General features: G+C 53.2%; 2 protein-coding genes across 15 annotated transcripts in view, besides 3 other annotated features; one reads left to right on the top strand and one right to left on the bottom strand.

Moving 5' to 3' along the window:
- The window catches only part of GNA12 (G protein subunit alpha 12), a 116,204-nt gene extending 107,045 nt beyond the window's left edge, over window positions 1-9,159 (top strand). For 3 of the 4 annotated variants that reach the window (NM_007353.3, NM_001282441.2, NM_001282440.1), the window contains 2 exons: window positions 3,763-3,813; window positions 5,514-9,159. In NM_007353.3, coding sequence (NP_031379.2) covers window positions 3,763-3,813; window positions 5,514-6,083 — 621 coding nt within the window. In that variant the 3' untranslated portion in view covers window positions 6,084-9,159. The remainder of the gene's footprint in view (window positions 1-3,762; window positions 3,814-5,513) is intronic. The other variant, NM_001293092.2, reaches the window with a different exon arrangement.
- Window positions 1-25,365, bottom strand: part of AMZ1 (archaelysin family metallopeptidase 1) — an 85,617-nt gene that overhangs the window by 27,875 nt on the left and 32,377 nt on the right. For 5 of the 11 annotated variants that reach the window (NM_133463.4, XM_047419926.1, NM_001384743.1 and 2 more), the window contains one exon: window positions 17,581-24,934. The exons of 4 other annotated variants lie outside the window; for them this stretch is intronic. In NM_133463.4, the coding sequence (NP_597720.1) occupies window positions 24,386-24,934 (549 nt within the window). In that variant the 3' untranslated portion in view covers window positions 17,581-24,385. Of the gene's footprint in view, window positions 1-3,581; window positions 6,244-10,199; window positions 12,784-17,580; window positions 24,935-25,365 lie in introns of those variants that run through there. 2 more of the 11 variants (NM_001384741.1, NM_001384742.1) reach the window with 2 other exon arrangements.
- Window positions 2,538-3,525: an enhancer, noted in NCBI's record as "H3K4me1 hESC enhancer chr7:2773373-2774360 (GRCh37/hg19 assembly coordinates)". NCBI's record gives its function as "activates a minimal SCP1, AML or CMV promoter by ChIP-STARR-seq in naive H9 embryonic stem cells {active_cell/tissue: H9 hESC(naive)}" and the evidence as "EXISTENCE:reporter gene assay evidence [ECO:0000049][PMID:30033119]".
- Window positions 21,638-21,687: an enhancer, noted in NCBI's record as "active region_25550". NCBI's record gives its function as "activates an Ori minimal core promoter by ATAC-STARR-seq in GM12878 lymphoblastoid cells {active_cell/tissue: GM12878}" and the evidence as "EXISTENCE:reporter gene assay evidence [ECO:0000049][PMID:35858748]".
- Window positions 23,923-24,122: a silencer, noted in NCBI's record as "fragment chr7:2752776-2752975 (GRCh37/hg19 assembly coordinates)". NCBI's record gives its function as "represses an EF-1alpha promoter that drives an FKBP-Casp9 reporter gene in an ReSE screen in K562 erythroleukemia cells {active_cell/tissue: K562}" and the evidence as "EXISTENCE:reporter gene assay evidence [ECO:0000049][PMID:32094911]".

The raw sequence follows: 25,365 nt of genomic DNA, 5'->3' as shown, positions 1-25,365 counted from the left end.
TGTGAGATAGCTCCTGAATGGGCAGATAGGGTTTAAAATTAAAAGGCCCTCTGGCCAGGAGCTGGAAGTTGGTGTTTGTTTTCTTTGTAACCACTCTCTGGTCCTTGATCTGTCCCTACTTAGACGCTTACATCTGAGACCAATCCACGGTTACCTTTTCCTCTCACTCCCCAGTGGGACCCACACATGGGCTGTCTTTAATGCACACCCTGTCAGTCTGTGACATTGACAGGCAGGAACTGAACCAAGCATGTGGGTAGAAAGGCTCCAATTAGGAGCAGAGGACAAGAGGGAACCAGAGTCAGCCCCTCATGTACTGATCTCGAGGGTCTGGTCCTGTGCAGGGTTGAATGATCTGAAGCTCTTTTCTCGTGGTCCTAAATTAGCTGAAGGAAGTGCGTGAGGCCAGCAGGGGTCTGTGAAGGGGCAGCTTGCTGTGTGCAGAGACAGAGGTGACGGGCGAGGCTGCTGCAGTGCCTGCCTGACGGTGCTGACGGAGTTCTGAGCGGCAGCAAGCCGAGCGTGTGTCTTTCTCCCACCGGAGGTGTGGGTGACAGGTGCTTCCAGAAACTGCTGAAGGCTGCAGGCCTCTGCAGAAAGGCGGTCTCCTCATGGGCGTGTGTCGGCCTAGGTCCTGCCCAGTGTCACGACATCACATCTGCCCGGCTGTGCCCAATACAGGTGCACAGGCCCCATATCAACCTGCTGCTGCTGCTTGAAACAGACAACCCCTCTTTCACTGCCACCAGCCCCTGCTCAGGTTCATCCCTTCTGTTGCTCGTGAGAGGACAGACACATTCGTGGGACAGTTGAGGCAGGGGACAGGCCCCTGTCAGGTGTGTGCTCAGTGGCCGCTGGCCCCAGCCTAATGAAATTCATTTCATTTAATCCGCAAGTCCAAGTTTGTGTTAATCTTGAGTGGTGTAGGTTTTTCACACCAAGGAGAGTCCCGAGAGCCCACTTTGGATCCACTCGTGTTTCTAGATCGTGTGACCGCAGCAGCCGTTGAGAGGACTCTGGGCTCGTCTTGGCAGGCACAGTGCCTCTTTATAAACCCACCAAGCGGTTAATTTCATGTGGACATCTCAGTTTCTGCCACATGCATTTTCTCTAAAGAAATGACTGAATTCTCTTAGTGTTGAAAATGCATGGGATTGTAAACCTGGCCCTTTTAATGAGCTGCTGCTGTAAGACTTGAGGAGTCCGTCGCAAACGATCGTCCCGTGGGCTGCGTGCCCAATCAGCAGGTGCATTGTCCAGTCTCTGTTGGTGAACCGCAGTGCACCAAACCTCAGGGACAGCAAGAGTGCGGATGTGAGTGACAGCGTTCTGGATCACACAGGGTTGCTCTGTGTCCCCTTCTTCCCTCCCCTCCAGCCCCCATTAGAGAGCTTGTGGCACAGTCCCTGGCACCTTACAGTTCAGTGGCAGCTTTCCCACGGACCCCCTGGGCTGTTTCTCGAGATGAGGCCGCCCTGACATGAAACTAGATTTGACTCCTCTCCTCCGCCACTCATGCAAGATGACCGAGAGTCACAGATAAGTTTTCCTGCATTCCAAGTAGTGATACAAATGCTGTGATGAGTTAAATGAGCCATCCTCATTCAGTCATCGTGGAGAAAGCAGCAGTGAGTGTTTGCTGTGTTGTGAAGTGCAGCTGGGGGACTGATTGCAGACTCGAGGGGTGTTTAGACTCACACCGAGGGAAACGTCCCTCCTGTTTTCTGCTTCCCATCGAGCTTGTCCTGATTGTGCCCTCTGTGGTGCTTTTCCCCTTGCGTCCGTACTATCTGGGCGGAGCACGTGTGTCCAGGGCTTTGTGTCCTGTGGTGATAAGAGCACTGGCTGGGGCATCTGTGCCACTGTGACTCTCCATGCCTGACCCAGCTAGAACCCTGCAGGAGAACTGCCTCTGCTTCCTTCGTGCCTGGTGCCACCACCTGCCTAGAAACGGGCAAGGGTGGCTTGGGCTGTGAGCTGCTGCTACTCTCAGCTCCCTGGGGGAGCCCGTGGCCACAGGAGAGGGAGGGACAGTATGCTGATGCTTCTTGGGCTTGCGTGGCACCTCCCGAGGCCCAGGGGAGGGCAGGAGAGCAGGAGGAGGCAGGAGAGAGAGGCGCTGAGGAAGGAACTTGTCGTAAATCAGGGAGTGAGTGCACCCAACGGCTTCTCCCAGCTGCTTCCTGTCAGGGTGTGGAAGGAGGCATGATGTGCAGAGGACCGGGGGGACTTGGCACAGCCACGGGAAGGCGGCTGCCCCACCGGCCTCACGCTGGCTTCCCACATCACGGGGGCTTGGCGAGGAAGGGAGAGAGCAGGCACGAGAGGTCAGTCGTGCCGGGCCCTTGGGGTACGTTCACCCTGGCACTCCCGATGCCTTCCCTACTGCAGAGCTGGGCCTCTGCCTGGGGCTCTAGAGAGCCGGTGGTCACGAGGTGCACGTGCTCGCCCCGTCCTGCCACAGAGGAGGAGGATGTGTGCTCGCTCAACACAGGCAGTGCTGGGATGGGGAGACGTGTGTTTCTGTCCCCTCAAACAAAACACTCACTTTGAAAACATCCAGAGGCCTTCGTTCTAAAGTAGGAAGGTGGGCTCCTCCCTGAAGGAGCTTCCTCTCTGCTTTCTCCCCTCAGTCTGTCTGGGACAGAGGAGGAAGAGATAGACTGAGCAGGTGCTGGCCGCCTTTCTCCATCCCTTACAACGCCACGAGCTTCAGCGCCATCACGTAGTCCATTCTGATGGCCTTCTCTCCTTAAAATTCTCCTGCGTCAGCTCGCCACATGTGTATGACCTTGCCCCTGTACATTTCCATGAGAACACAGAAAGTGACTGCTCTTCCCACAAGCCCTGATGTCAGGGCAGCCTGGAAGCCTTGACCCCGCCTGCTGGTGTCTGTCTTTAGAGCAGGGTTCAAAGTGGAATCTTATAGAAAGTGGTATAATTGGTTTTTAATACGCTACCTTTGAAGGGACTCATTGCGTGCCTGTTCATATGCGGGCTGCTCTGTGGTCGGTGGTTGCGCTCTCCCGGCTCCTCCCGTGCCCCGTGTGTGCCTCGCATTTGGCGGCTCAGCGCTTCCTGAAACGGGGTCCTGGGTGATTCCGCAGGGCCCTTCGCACTATGGAACACGTCTCAGATTGTATCGATGATTGGTCCAGGCAGGAGAAGACTGGCCATCATTCCACCACAACAATCCAAATGGAAGATTCCCCTGTGTTTGCTACTATAAATCAGGTCATAAAAATGTGGGAAGGAATAATGGACTCTTTCTAGAAACTGGAAGATGTTTTGCTAGATGCTCCTTTTCGTCAGGATGTTTTGTCTTTAAGGACAATGTCTTGGGTCCCTTAGGCCATCTTCGACAGAAGCAAGACTGTACCCAGGAGCCAAAATCTAAAATCCTATTCTAGCCTGTCCTTTGCTGGCCGCATGGCCAGGAGTGGGCCAGCCTTCATGTCTGGAAAGAGAGTCCCCCATCAGAGGGGCCTGCATCGCACCACACACCAAAACCCAGCAGCGAAAATTGAAAAACAGCCAGAATTTGAACCTTGGGGTTGGAGCTAAAGAACCTGCATTAAACATTTTCTTTAATGGTAGTTTTTTTATTTTAGAAAACACACGGACACTCTCTGCCTTTTTCCTTTGCTTTCCCATTCACACGGAGGCGAAATGCCACTGCTCTTACCCTGTTCAGTTCTTGTATTTGCCACATCAGGATTCCTCAGTCCAGACTGAGCTGTGAATATTCTTCCTTCCTGACAGGGGGAGTCGGTGAAGTACTTCCTGGACAACTTGGACCGGATCGGCCAGCTGGTGAGTAAGCACGCCCGCCCGAAGAAGCTGGGCTCCAGGGTTAGAAAACGTGTCCAGAGACCAAAGCAGTCCACGTTGTGAGGACTTTGGCTGGACTGACAGGCCGAGCTTGTTCTGTCACATTACCACGAATAGTACTGTAATGGCACGCTCTCACTTGGATCTGGGCCCCGTCTCAGTGGGGAGGGGAGGAAACTGCCTTTGCCCAGATCACCATAAAGGAGACAGACAGAGGAGTTCATGAGTGAAAGGAGGACTTCCTTTATCTCATGGAAAATTCAAACATACTCAAAAACAAATAGTCTAATGAAACCCCAGGCATGGCAGTTATCACTGATTACCAGTCTTGTTTCAGCAGCCCTCCCCCGGCCTCCGGGAGCAAATGCAGAGAATATTTTAGAGTGTACCTCAAAAAGACAAGACGAAAAATGACAACCGCAGTACCGTATGGCTCCTGAAAAATTGGCAGTAATTCCGTAATGTCAACCTAGTCAGTTTAGAGATTTTCCCTGTTGTCTCATTAATGTTTTCATGTTGATTTTGCTTTGTTTTAGCAGAGTTTGAATCAACAACCTAATAAGGTCATGCATTGCCATTGGTCAGGATCACTTAAGTGTTAATCTGTATGTCTCTCCTTTTTTTCTTTCAACTTGTTTATTGGAGTAACTGGATTATTTATCCTGTAGGGTTTCTTACCATGTGGACTTTGCTCTTCCACCCCTGCAGTGTTATTGAAGATGTTTCTCTGTCCCCTGCACACCCCGTGGGTGGTAGTCAGACCTCTAGATCGAGGCATGATCATGTCCGTGTTTGGTGTTTTGGCAAGAAGCTGCCTGAGTGGTGTGTGCACTCATCACGGGAGGTGTTTTGTTGGTTTTTTGTTCTGTTTTGTTTTTCGATTTTTTGAGACAGGGTCTCACTCTGTCACCCAGGCTGGAGTACAGTGGCACGATCGTAACTCATTGTAGCCTCAACCTCCTAGGTTCAAATGATCCTCCTGTCTCGGCCTCCCAAGTAGCTGGGACTATAGCATGAGGCACCACGCCCAGCTAATGTTTTTACTTCTTGTAAATATGGGGTTTTACTATGTTGCCCAGGCTGTTCTTGAACTTCTGGGCTCAAGGTATTCCTCCCACTTCCCAAAGCACCAGGATTATAGGTGTGAGCCACCGTGCCTGGCCTGGAGGATTATTAATAGTGCAAAGTCAAAGTGAGTGAAGAGTATGCTTGCCTGTGTGTCGCTAAAGACTTAAAGAATTGTCTAAGAATAACATTAAATGTATTGCAGATTGAATTTACATCACATTCAAAACCTAAATTAATTCACAGTAAGGTTTTGGAAGCTATAAGCTTTAGGAGTTAGAAAAATAAAAAGGTATCTCTGGTATGGAAACAAAAAAGATGGTAAATTTCCTCTGGAGAAGAAAATGGATGTGGTTTTGCGCTGGGCCTGCCCACGAGTGTTCTGAGCATTCGTCCTCAGACTGGTGAGCCTCCGTTCGTTTTGAAATGAAGTATTTGATTCTTTCTGTTTCACGGCCAGTTGATAATGTTATAAATGAAATTTGCTTTTGGTTTCTGGTTCAACCTGTTGCAAAAGTCAGTCTCTTTCCTTCTTATCTTTTTGCCATCTTTTTGTTTCTATTTTCTCTGTTCTTTCTTCCTCCCCCTAAATTTCTGCCTCATCCTGTATTTTACAGAATTACTTTCCTAGTAAGCAAGATATCCTGCTGGCTAGGAAAGCCACCAAGGGAATTGTGGAGCATGACTTCGTTATTAAGAAGATCCCCTTTAAGATGGTGGATGTGGGCGGCCAGCGGTCCCAGCGCCAGAAGTGGTTCCAGTGCTTCGACGGGATCACGTCCATCCTGTTCATGGTCTCCTCCAGCGAGTACGACCAGGTCCTCATGGAGGACAGGCGCACCAACCGGCTGGTGGAGTCCATGAACATCTTCGAGACCATCGTCAACAACAAGCTCTTCTTCAACGTCTCCATCATTCTCTTCCTCAACAAGATGGACCTCCTGGTGGAGAAGGTGAAGACCGTGAGCATCAAGAAGCACTTCCCGGACTTCAGGGGCGACCCGCACAGGCTGGAGGACGTCCAGCGCTACCTGGTCCAGTGCTTCGACAGGAAGAGACGGAACCGCAGCAAGCCACTCTTCCACCACTTCACCACCGCCATCGACACCGAGAACGTCCGCTTCGTGTTCCATGCTGTGAAAGACACCATCCTGCAGGAGAACCTGAAGGACATCATGCTGCAGTGAGCGAGGAAGCCCCGGGGTTTGTCGTCGTTGAGCAGCCCCCACGGCTGTCGGTCAGACTCTTGGGTGTGTGTTGTCTGTGTGGTCCTTGAGTGGGTTTCTCGGATCCGTGCCCTGGAATACCTGGCTCAGGAATGCTGTCAGACCAGCCAGCCAGCGAGCTCTAGGCAAAAGGACATGGAAACTGTCACGTTAGCTACTGAATCCTGGGGGCGAGTGAAACTACTGAAAATCCGAGTGATGATGTTGTGAATACGGAACACCTAATCACACAGCTTGCTTTGCTTTTACAGAAACGTTCCTCTTTTTCTGACGCAGTTTAATTGAGGACCGTGTTGTGTGTGTATGTGTGTACACACGCTCTGTCTTTAATGACAGAAACACAAAAACCAGCTGGCCTTGCAGACGGCTTTTCTAACTCACAAGTCTTCCCTGAGACAGACTAACCTGAAAGCTTTGCCTAACAGTAGCTTGTAGAGATCCAGTGCACGCCGATGCTGCTAAACTCAGTGCCTGAGCCCGGCCCTGCAGCCCCAGCCGCAGTGTCTGAAGGCCACCTCCCAAAGGGAGCACGTTGCCTTTTCAAACTCCCGTGCCGATTTCCTAAGAGCCCCTAGTCCAAGCCTCTCAGATGAAGCTGAGGAGCCGTGCCTAGGATCCCTTCCCAGCTCTGAGGACGGGCTGCAGAGCTCTGCAGGTGTGGATTCACCTTACGCCCCTACAGCAGGCTCAGCCCTTCCCACCCTGCCCCATGCCCAGCAGCACAACACGGAGTGAGACAGGATGCCCACGGTGACTGCCGCTCCGTCCGTGCACACACAGCGGTGCTCTTCTCCCCTTAGCCACCCACTGCCCAACCCAACGGCAAAGACACAGAAACCAGGTCCCCTTGCAGACGGCTCTCCCATCTTCCTGCAAGTCATCTGCTCACACACAGTTGGCAGCACATAGCGTTTCCTTCTTTCAGAAACATTCCTCTTCTGGGGCTTCAGAAAGCTGGCAAGGCCACTAGCAGAGCTTTTGTTAATGCCCCAGCTGCTTGGCGAGCTAACAGCTGACCTTTCGGGAAGCCCACAGACGCTGGAGGAATCTTGAGTTTCTCCAAACTGCCGCTCCACCAGTGCCTTTGGACAGCCGTGCCTGTTCGCCGCTCTCCCTAAGTCTGATTCTCATCGAGGCCCCTCGCTTCTATGACTGTGCTTGCAGAAGAGTAAACACTCTCGGATGCCGCTGTCCTGGGGGAGCCCGCGGGAGCCTGTGAATGTTGATACGAGCTGGCCAGTCCTGGGCCCAGCTCACTTGTCCAGCTACCTGCCAGGTGGCTTTCACTGTGTTTAAAATACATTGCATTCCAAGCTGGTCCCCTCTGTGTATCACTCTACTGAGAAATCCTGCCTAGTGTGTTTTGGGATGTGTCCTAGCATTTACAAGAAAATGAAAAGCGTCCTCTTAATTGGCACCCGAATGTTGCTGTGGCTCAGTCACATATCCCAGGGCCCTCGTCCCGAGGCCGTGCTGCCCCGAGCCCCGAGCCCCTCTGCAGCTCACCCTTGGCTTGTTTTCCGCAAACCCGGTAAACGCAAGCCCTTGGGGCAGATGCAGAAGCAGAAGAGGGAGGGGAAACCTGCCTCTGGGTCACCCTGTTAGCACAGCGTTCTCATCGGGAGACAGCATGGAACTCTCTCTCGCAGTGCTCGAGGCTGTGTGTCAGTGTTTGCTGGGCTTGTGGCTCCTTTTTTGGCTGGATAAAGAAGTCGCTGTTTTTGTACTGCTTCTGTGGCTCTTCACAGACCTCACGGATGTGACCGGAGATGAGTGCCGATGACCACGTTTTAAAGGAGAAAGAGAGCTCCTGGTGGGGCCCTCGGGGTGGTCTCAGGTCCCATTTGCAGTCTGCAACAGTGACGCGCAGCCCGGTCCGGAGCGTGGTGAGCTTTGTTTGCCTTCTGGGTCAGCTTTCGCTGTGTCTCCTGTGTGTGTTAGAATCCAGAGCCCAGAGGAAGTGCAAGCGGGTCCTCCGCCAACGGGGAGAGCCTCTTCGCGGCGCTGTTGGCGACAGCAGCGCTGTGATTCGCGTAGCAGGGGAGTTGTTTGAAACACCTTCCTGAGTAGTCCGGCCTTGTCAATGAGTGCTTGTTTTCCTTTAAACAGTCTGACATATTTACTCGTCACTTTCAAACCAGAAGCATGAGAGGAAGGAGATATTGTGGGGTCCGTTTAACTCGATAGAAAGCGCAGGGGGATGGCCCCCGGCGCGGGCTCTTGACCCGCTCAGCGCTGACCCCACCGCCCTGGCCGAGGCACTTGGCCTTGCTGAGCTGGACTTCCTCCTCCTCCTCCTCATGACCGGGGTGAATTAGAACGTTTTTAAAGACACCCCCTTCCAAATTCTGTAACACATTGTAATTGGAGAAGAAGGAAACTCTGCAAGGCTAAACTGTCATTCACAACTTGGCTACACATAGACTCTAGTCAGTTTTGTCTCCAGAACCTTAGGCTTTTGTATTTTTTAATTTTAATTTCACTGTTAATCCTTATTGTCTTTTTTATTAAGATGTTGGAAAAGCAGGAGGTAGTTGTGCCTCAATTATTGCAAAAATGTAACAATAAAGTTCCTCAAAATAAGATCTGTTCCTCATAGCTATACTGTGTACACATAAGACGCATATAGGGTTTTACTGAAATCTATTTTTAACTCTTATGTTCGTAGAGAAATTGTTTCAAGGATTTTGAGTCATAGGTCTGTAATTTATAGAGATCTCTAGAATTCTTATTGTAATTTTCCTACTTCTTTGATAAAAGAAAAATAAGTCAGATTGTTAACTCCAAGATTGAAAAAAAAAACTCTTGAAAGAAGATTATTAGTTGTAACTAATTTAGGGGTTCTGGGCACAGACATCTAACCTGGTATTGTAAGGCAGAGGCTCCCATTGGAATGGTAGTGGTCCGGGTCAGTTGTTCATGGTGTAAGCTTTGCACAGTGTATTAACATTGGGAGGGTCTGGCTTGAAAATTTGGCCACCCTCAGCCTCTGAATGTTTATTAAAATAAATTTAGTCTTTCTTTGCTTAATATAAAATAGTGCCAGTATTCAAAACCAACACTAAATTGATTTTTCATTCCCCAGGATTCACAGCAGATCACTCTCATCCTAATTTTTTTTTTTTTTTTTTTTTTGAGACAGAGTCTCCCTCCACCTCGTGGGTTCAAACGATTCTTCAGCCTCAGCCTCTCAAGTAGCTGGGTCTACAGGCGCCCGCCACCACACCCAGCTAATTTTTTGTATTTTTAGTAGAGACAGGGTTTCACCATGTTGGCCAGGGTGGTCTCTATCTCCTGACCTCGTGATCGGCCCACCTCAGCCTCCCACAGCCTCCCACAGTGCTGGGATTACAGGCATGAGCCACCACACCCAGCTCTAATCCTAATGTTATTTGAAGGTGGTTTATTATTTATTCATCACAGTTTTTATTTCCACATACCAAACAAAGCCTGGCATGTAGGAGAACCATTGTAAATAATACAGGTGTGGCTCACACCTATAATCCCAGCACTTTGGGAGGCCAAGGTGGGAGAATTGCTTGAGTGCAGGAGTTTGAGACCAACCCAGGCCACAAGAGACCCCATCTTTACGGATAGAATCAGCTGGGCATGGTGGTGCATGCTTGTAGTGCCAGCTACTTGGGAGGCTGAGGCAGAAGGATCGTTTGAGCCCAGGAGCTTGAGGCTACAGCGAGCTGCGATCGCACTCTGCACTCCACCCTGGGCAAGAGCAAAGACCCCATCTTAAAAATAAATGAAGATGGCCGGGCGCAGTGGCTCATGCCTGTAATCCCAGCACTTTGAGAGTCCGAGGCGAGCGGATCACAAGGTCAAGAGATCGAGACCATCCTGGCCAACATGGTGAAACCCCAACTCTACTAAAAATACAAAAATTAGCTGGGTGTGGTGGTGGGCGCCTGTAATCCTAGCTACTCGGAAAGCAGAGGCAGGAGAATCGCTTGAACCCGGTAGGCAGAGGTTGCAGTGAGCCGAGATCATGCCACTGCACTCCAGCCTGGTGACAGAGTGGGACTCTGTCTCCAAAAAAGTAAATAAATAAAGTTGTGTTCCAGAGGCTTTTATTCAAAACACTTTTTATTTTTAAAGCATGGCATGGCAGCATATACACCTAAACACATGCATGTGAGCATGAGAGGCCTCGCTCTCCAAGATCAGAAGCTGGGAGGGGAAGGACCTTGACGTGCTCTGGAGACCAGCGGTGCCCATGGGGATGGCAGGTGGAGGTTCTGTCCTCACAACCCCTGGGGTTATCGTTCCAGCCAGAAAGCGAAGAGACCACTCACAGGAAGCAAGGGCACCGTCCGGTCCTCGGCGTGGTGTGACCAGAGCTCTCATGCTCAGGCCTCCACCATAACTTGCTCTTCGGCATCACGGGGCATCTCTCTTCTTGCCCAAACAAGCAGCTTTCTGGAAAGAGGAGTGGGGATGCCACTTAGCACCATTAGCCCATGTGTGGCTGGTGGGGGCTTGAACTGACCACAAGTGGGAAAGGCAGAGAGTGCGCCAGAAAAACACCTGCCCTGAGCACACAGTGTGCTCCGACTGTAGGCTGAGCTCTGGGAGCCTGGATGTCCTCACGTCTCCATGCTGGATGATGTAGTGGCTCTCTGCCCTGGGGACACAGTCGAATCACCTGAGGAGCTCTCACCCGGGCAGTGTGCTGAGCCGCCAGGCCTGAGACACCAACTCATACAGGTTTCTCCATGTCCCAGGCGGTTCTGATGTCAGCCAGGGTTGACAGTCACTGAAGAGGCAAGCTGGGAGGTTCCTTCCAGGTTTGGGGACATCCATGTTTAATGTGGTGAGGATTGTATTTCACCGTGTAACGTGCCACCAAGGTCTTCTCACTGTGGCCAGCAACCTGCCTCGAGAATTGCGGGGATGGTGGGTTTTCTTTGGTGATTTAAGGGCAGAGATGAAATCCTTGCTAATCTTTCCTCACGCACATGCAGCCTTTCCAAATCTGGTAGTGCCATTTCTCTGTAAGGTGCATCACATGTGCTTAGCAGTCTCTTTCCGAAATGATTGCTTGAAATTCAGGAGGCTTTGCTTTGAAGAGGACAGGCCACTTTAAGACTTGCTTAATTTGCACAGCAGCCCCGGGGAGAGATGGTCCTGAAATATGGGATCCTGGTGTTTCCTTGAAGCCTTGGCGTTCAGGGGAGCTGGTCCAGACCTGAGAGTCGGTGGGGGGACTGCAGCGGGCGGGCTGGACGCCTGTATACAGAGGCACCAGGGGAGGGTCTGGCACTGCGTGCCCTGGAAGGGGATGGTTCACTGACATCAGCCTTTCAATCTCGTGATCGTTTTGTGAGGCGTTGTGTTGGACCTGGAACAGAAAAGCGTTAGGTTTCCCAAGAAAGGAGCTGAAGCCGCCTTTTGAGCAGGCCTCAACGGCGGCTGACAGGCGACCAGGGAGAGGCAGAGTCTACGGTTTTCGGGGGTAACTGAGCTCTGGGAGTGGAGCCCACAGGGTGTGGACGTGCTGCTCCTGCCTCCAGGTCCCAGGTTCATGGCCTGTCTTGCACGCTCTCTGGAGGAAAGTCTTCAGGTCACTGAGACCTGCCCTATGGCTTCTCATTCACTTGCTGCTCCATCTCTCCCTCCAGAACCCTCTGGAACTTGGAGGCAGGTTATTTGCGGTGTTCAGGGCGCCATATTGAAATAGACGCATTGGATTTCTGGGCTGCAGTATTGGCATCTCCTCGGGTGGAAGCTCACTTCAGACACAGGTCACTGCTCCCTGGAAGCATCCTTCGCCCTTCCCCTCGCGCAGCTGTGTCCGTCTGGTGCCGCGGGCCCAGGGCAGCCCCTTCTAGGAGATGCTGGCGTGGCGTGGTTCTGCCTACCGCAGGCCATGGCCATGGCTCCAGCCCCTGAACCCGGAGGACCTGAGGGCCCAGAACAGCCATGCTTTGGGCCTTAGCTAATCCACATCCCACTGAACTAGTCCCTGGCAGATAAGCTTTTCTCAGTGTTTGAATTTCCCATTCACAGGGTGCGCTCGCAGAACCCAGCAGGAGGGAACAGGAGGTCCCTAGAAGTGAGGGAGTTCCAGATACCCCGTCCTGGTGGATGCTGCTGCAAGTTAGTGTTTGTGTGCGGTGAGGGGTAGGAAGTGGGTAGAACTCAGAAATAGACCACAGTGCTTCTGCGCAGAAAAGCAGACCACCCGCTGGGGTACCGGCTTCTCTGTCCTGGCGGATCCGGGTGTGGCGGGGACGAGAATCGCTCCCATGCTTAACCCTGACGTTTGGAAATCCTTCCCGGACATTGTCATTGTGAGACTCTCACGCGCCCGGCAGCCTCGGCACGTGGCTGACGGTGATTTGCTGGAAGTCGTGTTGGAAATGCGGCTCAGTGGCTGACTTCACAGTAGTAGAAACAGCTCCACCCAAAACTTAGGTGCTTTTTCTTAAGCAGGTTCAAGGAGGTTATTTTCTCCCTTTGGTTTTCTTTCGGATGTGTGTTGTAACATGAACCAAAGCGGGACACAGGTGCAGTTACCGTGGGGTCCCACGTCAGCCTGAATTTCCTGCCGGGCCGACACACAGCCTGGCCCTCGTGGGTGGGGTGGGAGGGTGCAGAGAGGCACAGAGGGCCATGGTCGGTGGAAGGGCTTCCCGTCTCTTGCCTGGTCCTGTTGGTGAAAATGAAGGGCTCTTGTTCCAGGCCTGTCACCTTGGCACCCTTTAATTAACAGTGAACTCACTTCATTCTGTGATTTTAAAAGCTGATGCATTTCACCCAAATGAACGTAACCCCACCTATTTGTCGTTGAAGTAGAGCTTTCCTGGAGGACCACATCTTCTCGACAGGTCGCAGGTCTGGCCTTGCCCGGCGCTGGTGAGCCCCAGCTGGCTTAGACCGTGTAGCTCGTCTGTTAAAGTCTGACCAGAAGTGGCCGGGCGCAGTGGCTCATGCCCGTAATCCCAGCACCTTGGGAGGCTGAGGCGGGTGGATCACGAGGTCAGGAGTTCAAGACCAGCCTGGCCAAGATGGTGAGACCCGCCCCCCCACTCCCCATCTCTACTAAAAATACAAAAAATTAGCCAGGTGTGGTGGCAGGCGCCTGTAATCTCAGCTACTCGGGAGGCTGAGGCAGAGAATTGCCTGAACCCAGGAGGTGGACATTGCAGTGAACTGAGATGACGCCACTGCACTCCAGCCTGGGCAACTGAGCAAGACTGTCTCAAAAAAAAATCTGGCCAGAAGTCCAGTCGAGGGAAAGTTTATCGCCGCAGAGACAGATGTAGGGGTGGTCAAGAGCGTGGCCCTCTGTGAGGAGGATGTAAAGTCCTCCAGGCCCAGCTCCGGGGCTCTCTGGTACTAGCTCCAGGCGCAGAGGGAGTCTCTGAGAACAGGGTTGCTGGGGACAGCCGCGGTGCCTGACCTGCAGGCCTCCATCGTTGCTGTCTGCAACTTCAGCCTCTGCCCTGAAGCTGTGGGGAAAGCTGATCTGAATCGTCCCCGAGAGCTTGGGGAGCGCCGAGGGGGCATGCAGGGCTGTGGCCAGCAGCGTGAACCCCTCGAGACTGTGGCACCCCTCCTCCTCCTCAGTCCGACAGCTGGCTCCCAAGGGATCTCCCGCAGCCTCGGGGTGATGCAGGAGATCTTCGCCACCAATGTGTTTCCCATCTGTGCTCCTCAAAGAAGGTCAGTACAAACTAGGCCGAGGACACTTGGTCAGGTAGGAGACTTTGAAACTCGGGCATCAAGAACTGAACCAGACCTGCATCTGGAAATCACACGAATGAAGTTGGTTCTTTGTGGCTCTCCCGCTCACCCAGGCTGTCTGGATGCACCCGGGTGCATGTTGCCACATTCCCCTGCAAACAGGTGCCAGCAGCTCTTGTGACTTAGCTGTGGGTGACAGGTGCTGAGCACGCGTCTGCAGCAGGGCCCCCACACAGCCCACAGGCACCGTGGGCTGTACACTCTGTGGTGCTTTCTTATTAGGAGTCAACCTGTTCAATTTTTTTTTCTTCTTTTATAAAATGTACTCAAGTCACATATAATTTCTACACCACTCACAGGTTGTACAACTGCCATGCAAATGCATTTCAGATTTACTTTTTTTTTACACAGTGAACCTTCTTGATTTTTATTTTGTTTTATTTTATTTTACTTTATTTTATTTTAAATATAGGGTCTTGCTCTGTGGCCCAGGCTGGAGTGCAGTGGTGTGATCATAGCTCATCGCAGCCTCAAAACTCCTGGGCTCAAGCAGTCCTCCCACCTTGGCCTTCCAAGTAGCTGGGACCACAGGCATGTGGCCACCACCCGCACCTGGCTAATTTTTAAATTTTGTATAGAGATGGAGTCTCACTGTGTTGCCCAGGCTGGTGTTGAACTCTTGGCCTCAAGTGATCCTCCCACCTCAGCCTTCCTGAAGTGCTGGGATTACAGGCATGAGTCGCTGCACCCAGTCTGGGTTCTTAACAAGCCTATGCAAAATTTAAAATCTCTGTTGCATCTGTCAGTCTCGAATCTCAAAAAATTACCTTTTGACCTGTCAGGCAAATTGGTTTAAAACATTCAAAATGTCCTGGCTGGGCACGGTGGCTCACGCCTGTAATCCCAGCACTTGGGGAGGCTGAGGCGGATGGATCACGAGGTCAGGAGATCGACACCATCCTGGCTAACACGGTGAAACCCCGTCTCTGCTGAAATATAAAAAATTAGCCGGGCATGGTGGCGGGCGCCTGTAGTCCCGGCTACTTGGGAGGCTGAGGCAGGAGAATGGCATGAACCCGGGAGGCAGAGCTTGCAGTGAGCCGAGATCGCGCCACTGCACTCCAGCCCAGGCGAGAGAGCGAGAGTCTGTCTCAAAAAAAAAAAAAAAATTCGAAATGCCCTTTTTCTTAACTCCATTTGAACCAGCTCACATCGATGGGCACAAGCGTCGCCAGGAAATTCAGTGTGGTAAGCTTGGCACCTACTCATGGCCACCGTGTCCTGAACTCCCTTTCCTGTGCTCAGGCCCCAGCCCACGCAGCAGGAGGACACACTGCCGAAGGGACCAGTTGGACGGCCTTCTGGCTTTAGCGCCTGTGCCTTTCAGGACCTTAAATACAGAAAGGAACCGAGTGCTCTGTGCAGCCCCTCCAAGACGGTCGCTACAGCGCCAGCACCACCTGCGCCGGGCCATCATGCCGTGACCGGACTTGGTTTACGAATACAGTGTACGAGGTTAAGATATGATAAAGTGTAAAAATATATGTTATAGCCACGGTGGTTAGTTTAACATGTTTTGTATATATGATTTTTATAAATCTATTAAAATGTGCCTTAAATTACACCTGTTTTCCTGGCGTGTTATGTCCCTGCCTCCCCCGCCACTGCTGAGAAGTGGGGGGCCCCTGAGTGTGGCACCCACCCGCCGCTATCTTTTTTTTTTTTTTTGAGACGTAGTCTCGCTCTGTTGCCCAGGTTGGAGTGCAGTGTCGCGATCTCGGCTCACTGCAACCTCCACCTCCCAGGTTCACACCATTCTCCTGCCTCAGCCTCCCAAATAGCTGGGACTACAGGCATCTGACACCACACCTGGCTAATTTTTTGTATTTTTAGTAGAGACAGGGCTTCACCGTGTTAGCGAGGATGGTCTCGATCTCCTGACCTCGTGATCCACCCACCTCAGCCTCCCAAAGTGCTGGGATTACAGTGACCCACTGCGCCCAGCCCACCTACTGCTTTCAAACAGAAGAATGTGTGTGGCAGTGGATTCTGCAGCATGCGTCGCATCCACGGGCTTCCAGAGTGCGTTCCACCGTGGGGCAAGCACCTTTCCCGAAGCAGAGGCCTCCTCACATCTTCCACACATCTGCGGTGCGCGGCAGGAGAGTGAGGTGAGCGCTCAGCACAGGGCCCGGCTCAGGCCTTAGTCCCTGTGCTTCCACTCCTGAGCTCCACCCTCCCCTGGCCTTTCCATCCCTCCCAGGCACAGGCGTCCTGGGTTGCTCTTCCTCCCGGCATTGGCAGGAACCTCCCGCGCCACCCAGTGTGTCTTCAATAGAGTCGGTCGTTTTGCAGCTGCTGGTCGCCACCACCAGACCTGTGGGCGTAAGGCAGGCAGCCAGCGATGACAGCCCGCAGGGTCACACAGGAAACATGCTGTGACATTCGTATAAACAGAAATAACGGGCTGGGCGTGGTGACTCACACCTGTAATCCAGGCACTTCGTGAGCCCGAGGCAGTAGGATTGCCTGAGCCCAGGAGTTCAAAACCAGCCTGGGCAACGTGGCTGAAACCCTGTCTCTACCAAAAACAAGTTTTTAGTTAGCTCAGTGTAGAGATACACACCTGTAGTCCAGCTACTTAGGAGGCTGAGGCAGGAGAGTCGCTTGAGCCCAGGCATTTGAGATAAGCCTGGGCAACATAGCAAGACCCCTGTATCTAAAATAATTTTTTTTTTTTAAAGGCTGGGCGCAGTGGCTCACACCTATAATCCCAGCATTTTGGGAGACTTCGGTGTTTCACTTGAGGTCAGGAGTTCAAGACCAGCCTGGCCAGCACGGTAAAACCCCGTCTCTACTAAAAAATACAAAAATTAGCCAGGCTTGGTGGCAGGCGCCTGTAGTCCCAGCTACTTGGGAGGCTGAGACAGGAGAATCGTTTGAACCCAGAAGGCGGAGGTTGCAGTGAGCCAAGATCGCACCACTGGACTCCAGCCTGGGCAACACAGACTCTGTCTCAATAAATAAAAATTCAAAAAAATAATGATCCCCTCCAGCCCCCAAAACACACACTAGTCTTTCTCTTTTTGTCACAGCGCATAAAAAGTGTTCACCCTGACGTGGGGAGACATGGAAACGGGGAGTGAACATTTGTGAAGTGACTCTTCATTTGACAGGTGTTTTAAAAGCCTCCAGCAGTGACTAAGTGTTTGTGGATGGGCGTCCGCGTGGGTAGATGAACCGGTCCATGTCAGCAGAGGAGCCGAGTCTCAGAGGGGAGCCGCGCTTTGCACGGAAAGCTCTGCAGCAGTGCGTGGCAGCCCTGTCGGTAGGTTCCCGTCGGCTCCTTGCCTTCTCAAATGCAAGGAATTGCTTATCGAATTCAACAGACACATTCTCTTTTCATTTAGCCTTCCAGAATTTCATCCTCTTCGTTTAAGCCCTTTTTAAAATTTGGAGTTGAGGCTGGGCACGGTGGCTGACGCCTGTAATCCTGGCACTTTGGGAGGCCAAGGCGGGTGGATCACGAGGTCAGGAGTTTGAGACCAGCCTGGCCAAGGTGATGAAACCCCATTTCTACTAAAAATACAAAAATTAGCCGGGCATGGTGTGGCAGGCACCTGTAATCCCATCTACGTGGGAGGCTGAGGCAGGAGAATCGCTTGAAACTGGAAGGCAGAGGTTGCAGTGAGCCAAGATCACACCATTGCACTCCAGGCTGGGCAACAAGAGCGAAACTCCATCTCAAAAAAAAAAAAAATTGGGGTTGATAGCATTTATTAATTTTGAGAATGAAAATGTAAGATGTAAGCATTATAGAAAAGCTGAGTAACAATTTATTTTGTATATCAAAGTCGTCCATCAGTCATTGCAGTATAAAATGTTCCAGGTGTATTTCCACTTGGACTGGATTTTTAAAAATAACTGTGCCATACAATCGAGCGGTGATCAAAGCTCATGTAATTAGGGCTAAGTCGTTCCCGTTGGGAGAGGCTATTGTGGGACTTGTGCGTCGGGCCAAGGGATGCTCTGGGCTCTGCTGTTGGAGCAGAGGAGGGAGCTCTGCCAGGCGCGCGGGCCTTTGCCCTCTTTAGGCATTGCTCCTGCTTGGGGGTCCGTGACAGACATCAGGTTATGCCATCAAGAGCCCCACGTGAAACAACTGCCTCCAAGTGGTGCAGGCGGGAGAGGCGGCCGGAGGATGGCAGGAATAAAGAGACACCCCCCTTCCGACAGGGGCCACCTGCCGTTCTGTCGGAGGAGTTGGGTTGGCAGCCGACAAAGCTGCTGCCCGCATCCTGCCCATCCAGTAAAGGCCTCGAGCCCTCACAAGGGGGCGCCCAAGAGGACGGCCACCACCCACCCAGAAGGGCACAGGTAGAATGTGGTAGAAGTTTGATCTCACTTCAGATGGGGGGGAAAAAAAAAAAAAAAAGTCGCCTGTTCTTGCAGCTTCCCTCCCTCTTTCCTTCCTGCTCATACATTTGGAATAAATGGCCGGAGCTCTCCTGTACCCCTGCCTGTGTTAAGCGACCCTGAGAAAAGCGTGTTCTCTGCCTCTTCCAACCCACTCCGTTTCCCGTGGTTTCTGTGACTCCCCTGTTCCCAGAGGCCTACCCCAGGTGGGCAGAGCACAGGGAGAGGAAGTCCCTGAGAGCCGGACGCAGCTCGGCCCTGGCCTGCCCGCTTCTCCCTGACCACAAGACCAAGCCCGGCTGCACAAGCCCTGTCCTGTTAGAAGGGACAGTGGAGCTCCTACGTGAGAAAGTGTTGGAAGAAATGGTGAAGAGTCCACTGCCTTCTGCTGCTGAAAGCCTGACCGAGAGGGGCGTCGGCTTCAGACTGGACCCCACACTGCCCCCGGGAGCCGTCAGCCGCGCTCATCACCTTCGTCCACGTGCCAGGTGAGTGGGCGCCCGCGGCTGCCACCAGCGTCCAAGAGTCAGGGCTGAACAAAACACGTCCCCATTCATTCCCGCTGGTCACAGACCACTGAAGGAGGCCCACGAGACAGACTCACAAAGCGCGGTGAGGGCCCTTGAACGGGAGATGGTCTTGGACTCGAGAAAGACGTGTTGGCCTTTGCTGAGAAGGGGCGGTTCAGTCATGCTGTATCCAGAAAACCAGGCACACTGTGGCGGGCAGAGCACCCTGCCTGAGAGAGAAAATGGACACTGGGCCCACAGTCAGGAGAGCCAGAGCTCTCGGCATCAGAGGAGCCCCAGGGTGGAGCCACGTGACTCCATGCCGGGCTCAGTTTCCATGTGACAGAAGTGCGTTCATTAAAAAGCCCAGGGAGCAGGCATCGAGGGAGGCCTCAGTGGTGGAATCTGGTAGGTGTCGTCTCTGGTTAATCTTGCGAGAGCTCGGGCCCCTCTCAGAGAGGGCAGGAGGTTGGACGGGCCTGGCTGCCGCGGACCCTCTGAGGGCCATTGTGGAGCCGCCGGGGGAGGCAGGGGCCGCCGTGTTTGCTCGACTCCGGTGACTATTTGGATTTGCCTCATCGTCACGGGAACACTGCAGCGGGGAAGAGTTGGACTGAACGCGTGGTGACCCCAGGACGCTTCTTGGAAATTGCTTTTTAAAATAAACCCCTGACATCAGCCTGTTTTCATTTGCCTCCCTACCCAAGAAGCTGAGTTCAAAAATAAACCTCCATTCTTCCGGGTTCTCATTCATCAAGGTGCTGCTGTAGGATGTCAGAAAAGGGAAGGCTCGGCCGGCCGTCTCCACCCGCGATCTGCATCTGTTTTTAACAGCGTTCGCAGGCCAGGGCTCTTTACAGTCAAGCCGGAAGTGTTTCCTAGATTACCCTGCGGTGTTTATCTTTGACAGCCTCGTGTTCCAAGAGCCATAAATTTGCTGCTGCTTTAGGTTTCCTTGAAACTGGGCACCTCTGTGTGCAGTTGCCCCACAGGGATCACAGCTAGATTTCAGCTCTGGAGCAGCCTGCGTGCGGGGTGAGCTCCAGAGAGCCCTTGGGTACAGGGCGAGCCGGTTCCCGGGGCCTCTCCCAGGACGGCAGCCAGGCCCCCGTGAGTCTCTCACTCTTACTGGAGCTGCAAAGCCAGCTTAGAGGACGGGCCGTCGTTTGCTTCCAGCACACAGGCAGGCAGACCCAGTTCAGGTCTATGAGCCCCGTCGCGAAGCCCTGATTCTCTCCGTCTTCACGGGGATAAAAATATTCCTGTGCAGGCCTCGCCCTCCTTTTATAAACAAAACAAATCAGTGAAGCCCCAGCAATCACGGGGGTGTTTTCGTTGGCACCTCACCTAAGAGTGCCGGCCACCCACCCAGGCCTCTCCTCAGAGTCCGAAGGAGCTGCACGGGCCAGAAAGCCTCCTGGTTATCAGAACCGAGGGGCGTGGGTGCCGGTGTGTGGGGGCTGCTCAGGGATCAGGGTGCAGGCCTCCCGCGTCCGTGCGCCTTCTTACTCTCTTCCTGCTCAGACCGCTCCAGCTTGCTTTTAGAAAGCTGCACAACAGCGGGAGAACTCGGGGTTCAAGCAAGAACAGACTGCGCCTCAACTTCCGCTCTGCCGTTTCTGAGGCTCCAGCCCTTCCCAGTCCCATCTCGACAGCCACAGCCATATGGTGGGGATGCAGCCATCTGCCTTACAGGTCATTTCGAGACTCGATGATGATGTAAAAAAATTCCGTTACATAGGAAGGACCCCTTAAGCGGTGGAGTTGACTGACCCACTAGGGAAGACTTGCCTGTCCAGGTGGGCCTTGGGCAGGGCAGCCGGTCCCTCTCTCCGAGGCCTGGCCGTCCCTGCCTGGTGGGTCTGCAGAGCAGCTCCCTTGGCACTGTATGGAGACCCTCTGCGTGTAGGTGTGTCCCTGGAATGTTCTAGCCTCCCCCTTTGAACTTGGTGGGATCTAAATTTGGACTCCCAGCTTTATCACTCGTGCTTGACTAAGCCATTTTATGTTTAAGGCTTTTGGAGATTTCGTTCATCGGGGAAAGGTCTGAAGCAAATATTAACAGGTCGGCATCCCTCCCTCCTCACCCATGCTCTGGAAACGGGTGGTGGCAGAGCTCCACTCACTGTCCCGTGCCCTCAGGGTTCACACCATGGACAGGAGTCAGGATGCTGCTTCTCCCCTCTCCCCACTCTGACAATGAGTTTGGGCTTTTTGGGGAGGAAGAGAGGGAAAAGAATGAGATTTCGGAAGAGGACTGCGGGGCTGCCTGAAGAGAGATTTGCCTCAGAGGGGACACTGCTTCTCACCCCTTCATCATAGCATGGCTGTGACGTGGGAGTGTGTATTCTAGCCACTTCAGAAGGCATGTGTTAGCTTCCCCAGACTCATCGCACACACAGCAATACAGATAACATCTGTCATGACCTGAAACTATTTTTAGCTCCATGAGGCCCCGCTGACTTGGCTTACCAAGATGGGTGAGGCTCTCCGAAGAGAGGTCATCGTCAAGCTGGAAGACCCATCCTTGTGAATGCAGGGGCTTCTGACAGATGAGACGAGAAAGCAATTCAGTGGACTTTGCACGTGTTTAAAAACTGAAAGAACCGTGGCCCTGTGTGTCTTGGAAACCATCATCTCTAAATTTAATCTCAGTTCAACTTCTGCAGCACTTAAGTTTAGAAAGATTCGTGAGCTGTGACCTTCCTCGAGAAGGCAGCCCTCATTCTCTCTCCTCTGCCTTGCGTCTTTCCTGGTGACTGTCCCAAGTCACTCTTCACCACAGCACAGACAGAACCTGGGGCTAACACGGGGGAGAGGAGGGAAACCAATTTCTCTTCCTCAAAGTTGCATTTCAAAACAGTCCTTCTAACAGCTGTCTTAAAAAATTTCACTGACATCTGCAAGTTGGTAAACGCTGCGGATAAAAGGAGTTTTTTTTAGTGGTTTGCTCCTTCCCACTTCAAAACGCTTTTTTGGGACACACATCACAGCTGAGGGTCAAAGGACACGGGTACAGAGAGCGCCGAGGCTTTGGTCATAACCCCAGTGGGCTCCCACCCTCAGCATGAGCCAGGCATTCTATTTTTATCACCTCTGTTTAATCTCGCATCACTCCAGCGGTTAACCTTTTGCAGAAGATGAAGGAAATCGGAAAACAGGTCAGGCCACCTCGCAGGTGCACCAGCCAAATCCCCACAGTGAACGCCGAGTGGGGCTGACTGACTGTTCATGAATGGCCACAGCAATATTGTGTTGTCTCACATTCCCTGCCACGTCCCCTCCCCGTGAACCTGGGGTGGGGTCCTTGTCACTGCCGCCGTGGAGTGCAGGAAAGGTGACGCTCTGTGACGTGAGGCCGAGTTAGGAAAGGCCACAGAGCTTCCATCTGACCCTCCCGATGTCCACCTTAGGAGGGCAACCGCCATATTGTGAGGAAGCCCAGGTCCCTTTCTGAAAGTGACCCTCTTTTTTTCGTCTCCCCTCTTTATTCTGGCACAGTTACCTCCCAGGTCACTGTCATGCCCTTTAGAAGCCATGCAAAAGAGAAGGGTATGGATGAAGGTCCTAATGCTACATCTGAGCTTCTCTGAAATCAACACATACTTGTCCCTTTGCATTTTCCGGGACTGGGACCAGGAGCCTGCTGTCTGGCTCTGGCTGCCCTGTTTGTCGGGTTTCCTCACGGTATGGCAGCTGCCTTCCTAAGAAGATGCCCCTCCTCCATGGAGAGTCTCACGTGGGCAGGAACCAAGGCCTGAGATTCCCAGCCAAATTCCACTTGGCAGCCGTGTGAACGAACACTCCAGTCGAGCCACAGGGGCAAACCGTCTCCACCGAGCTCTGCCCAAGTTACAGATTCATGAGCTAGACTGTGGTGATTTTAAGCCACTAAGTTTTGGGTGGTTGTTTGCAGCAACAGCCACCAGGCTCCGGCTTTCACCTTCTGTTACTGCAGGGTGCTCTGCCGGCACCTTCCATTGGTCACTTTCTGAAAGGCCTAGCTCTTCATCTCCCCTCCCAGGTCACTGTTACGCCTTTTTGAAGCTACGCAAAAGAGAACGGGACGAAGATCCTAATGCTACTTCTGAGCTGCATCTTTGCTTCTCTGAAGTCAACACGGAGTGGGACCAGGACCGGGAGCCTTCAGTCGGCCTCCACCAATGTCAGATTCACAAGGAAGCCTCAGCCCACCTCACCTGCATAGCCCTTCTAGTTTTAGTTTTGTATTTTGTTTTTCTTAGAAGCCCTCCATAACCGTGTGAGCCACCCACCCACAAAAGGTCCAAGCTGCCCTGTTCTTGCCTCTCTCCAGATGAGGGTGCGCGAGCTGTGACCCCGCCCTCGTCACTCCGAAGGGATTCCGCTGTCAGAACCGGAAGTCTCTCTCCCAGAGACCCTCCACCACAGGCTGAGGGGGTACGTGTGACAATAAAAGGGTCAATTCCTCAGGAAGACACAACAATCAAATGTGCAGGGACGTAAAGGAGCTTCAAAGTGCAGGAAGCAAAATCCGGCAAAACTAAAGGGAGACAGATCAAACGCCCAGCCATGGCAATAATACCCCTCTCTCAGCAACTGACAGAACTAGACCGAAAAAAAAAGGAAAGACAGATCATCTGATCACCACCTCCAGCTACTTGGTACTGACAGCGCGGCCACCTTTGCCAAGAAACTGTCCCAAAAACATCACCACAGTTGATCTTCCCCACGGTGAGCTGTAGCCGCCTCAGGAATAAGGGGGCCTCTGCCCTCAGTGCACGTCAGACACCCTCACCTCCTGCAGTGTTTGTCAGAAGAGATGCCTGGAGAGCCCCGGTGAAGTCCGTCAGGATCAGGATGCTGTTAGCGCCACAGAACGTGACAGTGTGTGTGTGCATGTGGTTGACGCCTGAGATGATAGAGACAAAACCCCGTCACTTCCCCGTTAGGGAGGAGACTCAGCCTTGGAAGCTGGGTGGCAGTGTGGAGCCTGTGTGCCCCCGGGGTCACTCCTCATCTGAGCCAGCCTCTCCAGCTCCAGCTATAAATAACTGAAGGGCAGGCCCACAGCCTGGAAGGAGACAGGACGCACGCTGCTTCCTTCTGCCTCTGCAGGGGAGGGGGCTCTGTCCCAACCTCAGCACAGTCCGGCTTGTACTCCACGAGAAGCACCCAGGATCAGGGAGGCCTCTCCATGTGTGCAGGCCCCTGGGAGCGGCTGGCTGGGACTCAGGAGTTGAAGGAGGCGCCTGAAGACAGGTGGTCTGTGGCTTCTCCAAAGAACTTTTTTTTTTCTGGAGACAGTCTTTCTGTGTGGCCCAGACTGCAGTACAGTGGTATGATCACATCCCACTGCAGCCTCGACCTCCTAGGCTCAAGCAATCCTCCCACCTCAGCCTCCTGAATAGCTGGGAACACAGGCATGAACCACTTCATCCAGCTAATTTTTTAATTTTTCTTTTGTAGAGGCAGAGTCTCACCATGTTGCCCAGTCTGGTCTCAAACTCCTGGCCTCTCAAAGTGATGGGATGACAGGCCTGAGCCACCACCCAGGCAGACCCTTCCTCTTTATCCCTGGCAGGTCAGTAGTGGCCTCAGCTACTGGACAGTGCTGGCCAGCATCCTTAGGGAAGGAGACGTAGGGCAGCCCCTGCTGTACTAACTCTCTTCCCCATCCCAGGGACGGGGGGCCGACTCTGCTCTGGCGAGTTTTCGGGCACTCAGCTTCCTCCTCAGGGAGGAGAACTTGTCCCCCAGCACCTTGCGCAGCCCCACGCTGTCCCTGCTGCTGGGTGGGTCCTGCCTGGTGGCCGGGAGCTGGCCCGTGAACATCTCCCAGCGGTCGAGGGCGTCCACGGCTCTGTCCACCTGCACCAGGTCCTCCTCTGCCACTTCCCGCTGCAGGGCCTGGATGCACATGGCCAGCCACCGTTCATGCTCCTTGATGGCCTCCGCAGGGCCCCCAGGTGGCAGCGGAGCCTCTGAGGCTGCCAGGTAGCTCAGCCCTTCCTCTGGCCCCGAGGCGAAGGTGTGACTCCCGGCATCAGGGGTGAGGGGCTCCGACACACTGGTGCCGGGCTCCGAGTCACTCTCACAGCACATGCCCGAGTCGGCGCTGGCAGGCGGGGTGTCCTCCCACACTGACGGCTCCCCCGCCTCCTGGCTGGGCCACGTCCCCACCACCGCCTGAGTCCAGGTGTAGAGTCTCTAAGAGGGAGAAACACAGGCTGAGTTTGCTCCGTGCCAGCCCTTGTCTAGCCAGGGAACTGCCAGGAGACCTCCTTACCTAAGGGGACCCCACCGTCCTCAGTTACCCAGGGGCGGGAGTCAGGCTGGTGGTGTGAGGGCTCTTGTGACCAGCACCCTTTGAGGACTCATGTCCAGGCTGTGCCAGAGTCAGAGGTACCCACCCCCAAGAGCTCACCATTCAGGAACTTCGCAAGCTCCTTGTCATCCAAAGTTAGAACACTTAACATTTTTCGATTTTTTTAAGACAGAGGCTCACTCTGTTGGCCAGGCTGGAGTGCAGTGCTGCGATCTCAGCTCACTGCAACCTCCCCCTCCCAGGTTCAAGCAATTCTCCTGCGTTGGCCTCCTGAGTAGCAGGGATTTTACAGGTTCCTGCCAGCATGCCTGGC

Source organism: Homo sapiens, chromosome 7 (genome assembly GCF_000001405.40).
Source record: "Homo sapiens chromosome 7, GRCh38.p14 Primary Assembly".
NCBI lineage: Eukaryota > Metazoa > Chordata > Mammalia > Primates > Hominidae > Homo > Homo sapiens.
Note: the sequence above shows the minus strand (reverse complement) of the source record. Positions and strands in the feature narration are given on the sequence as shown.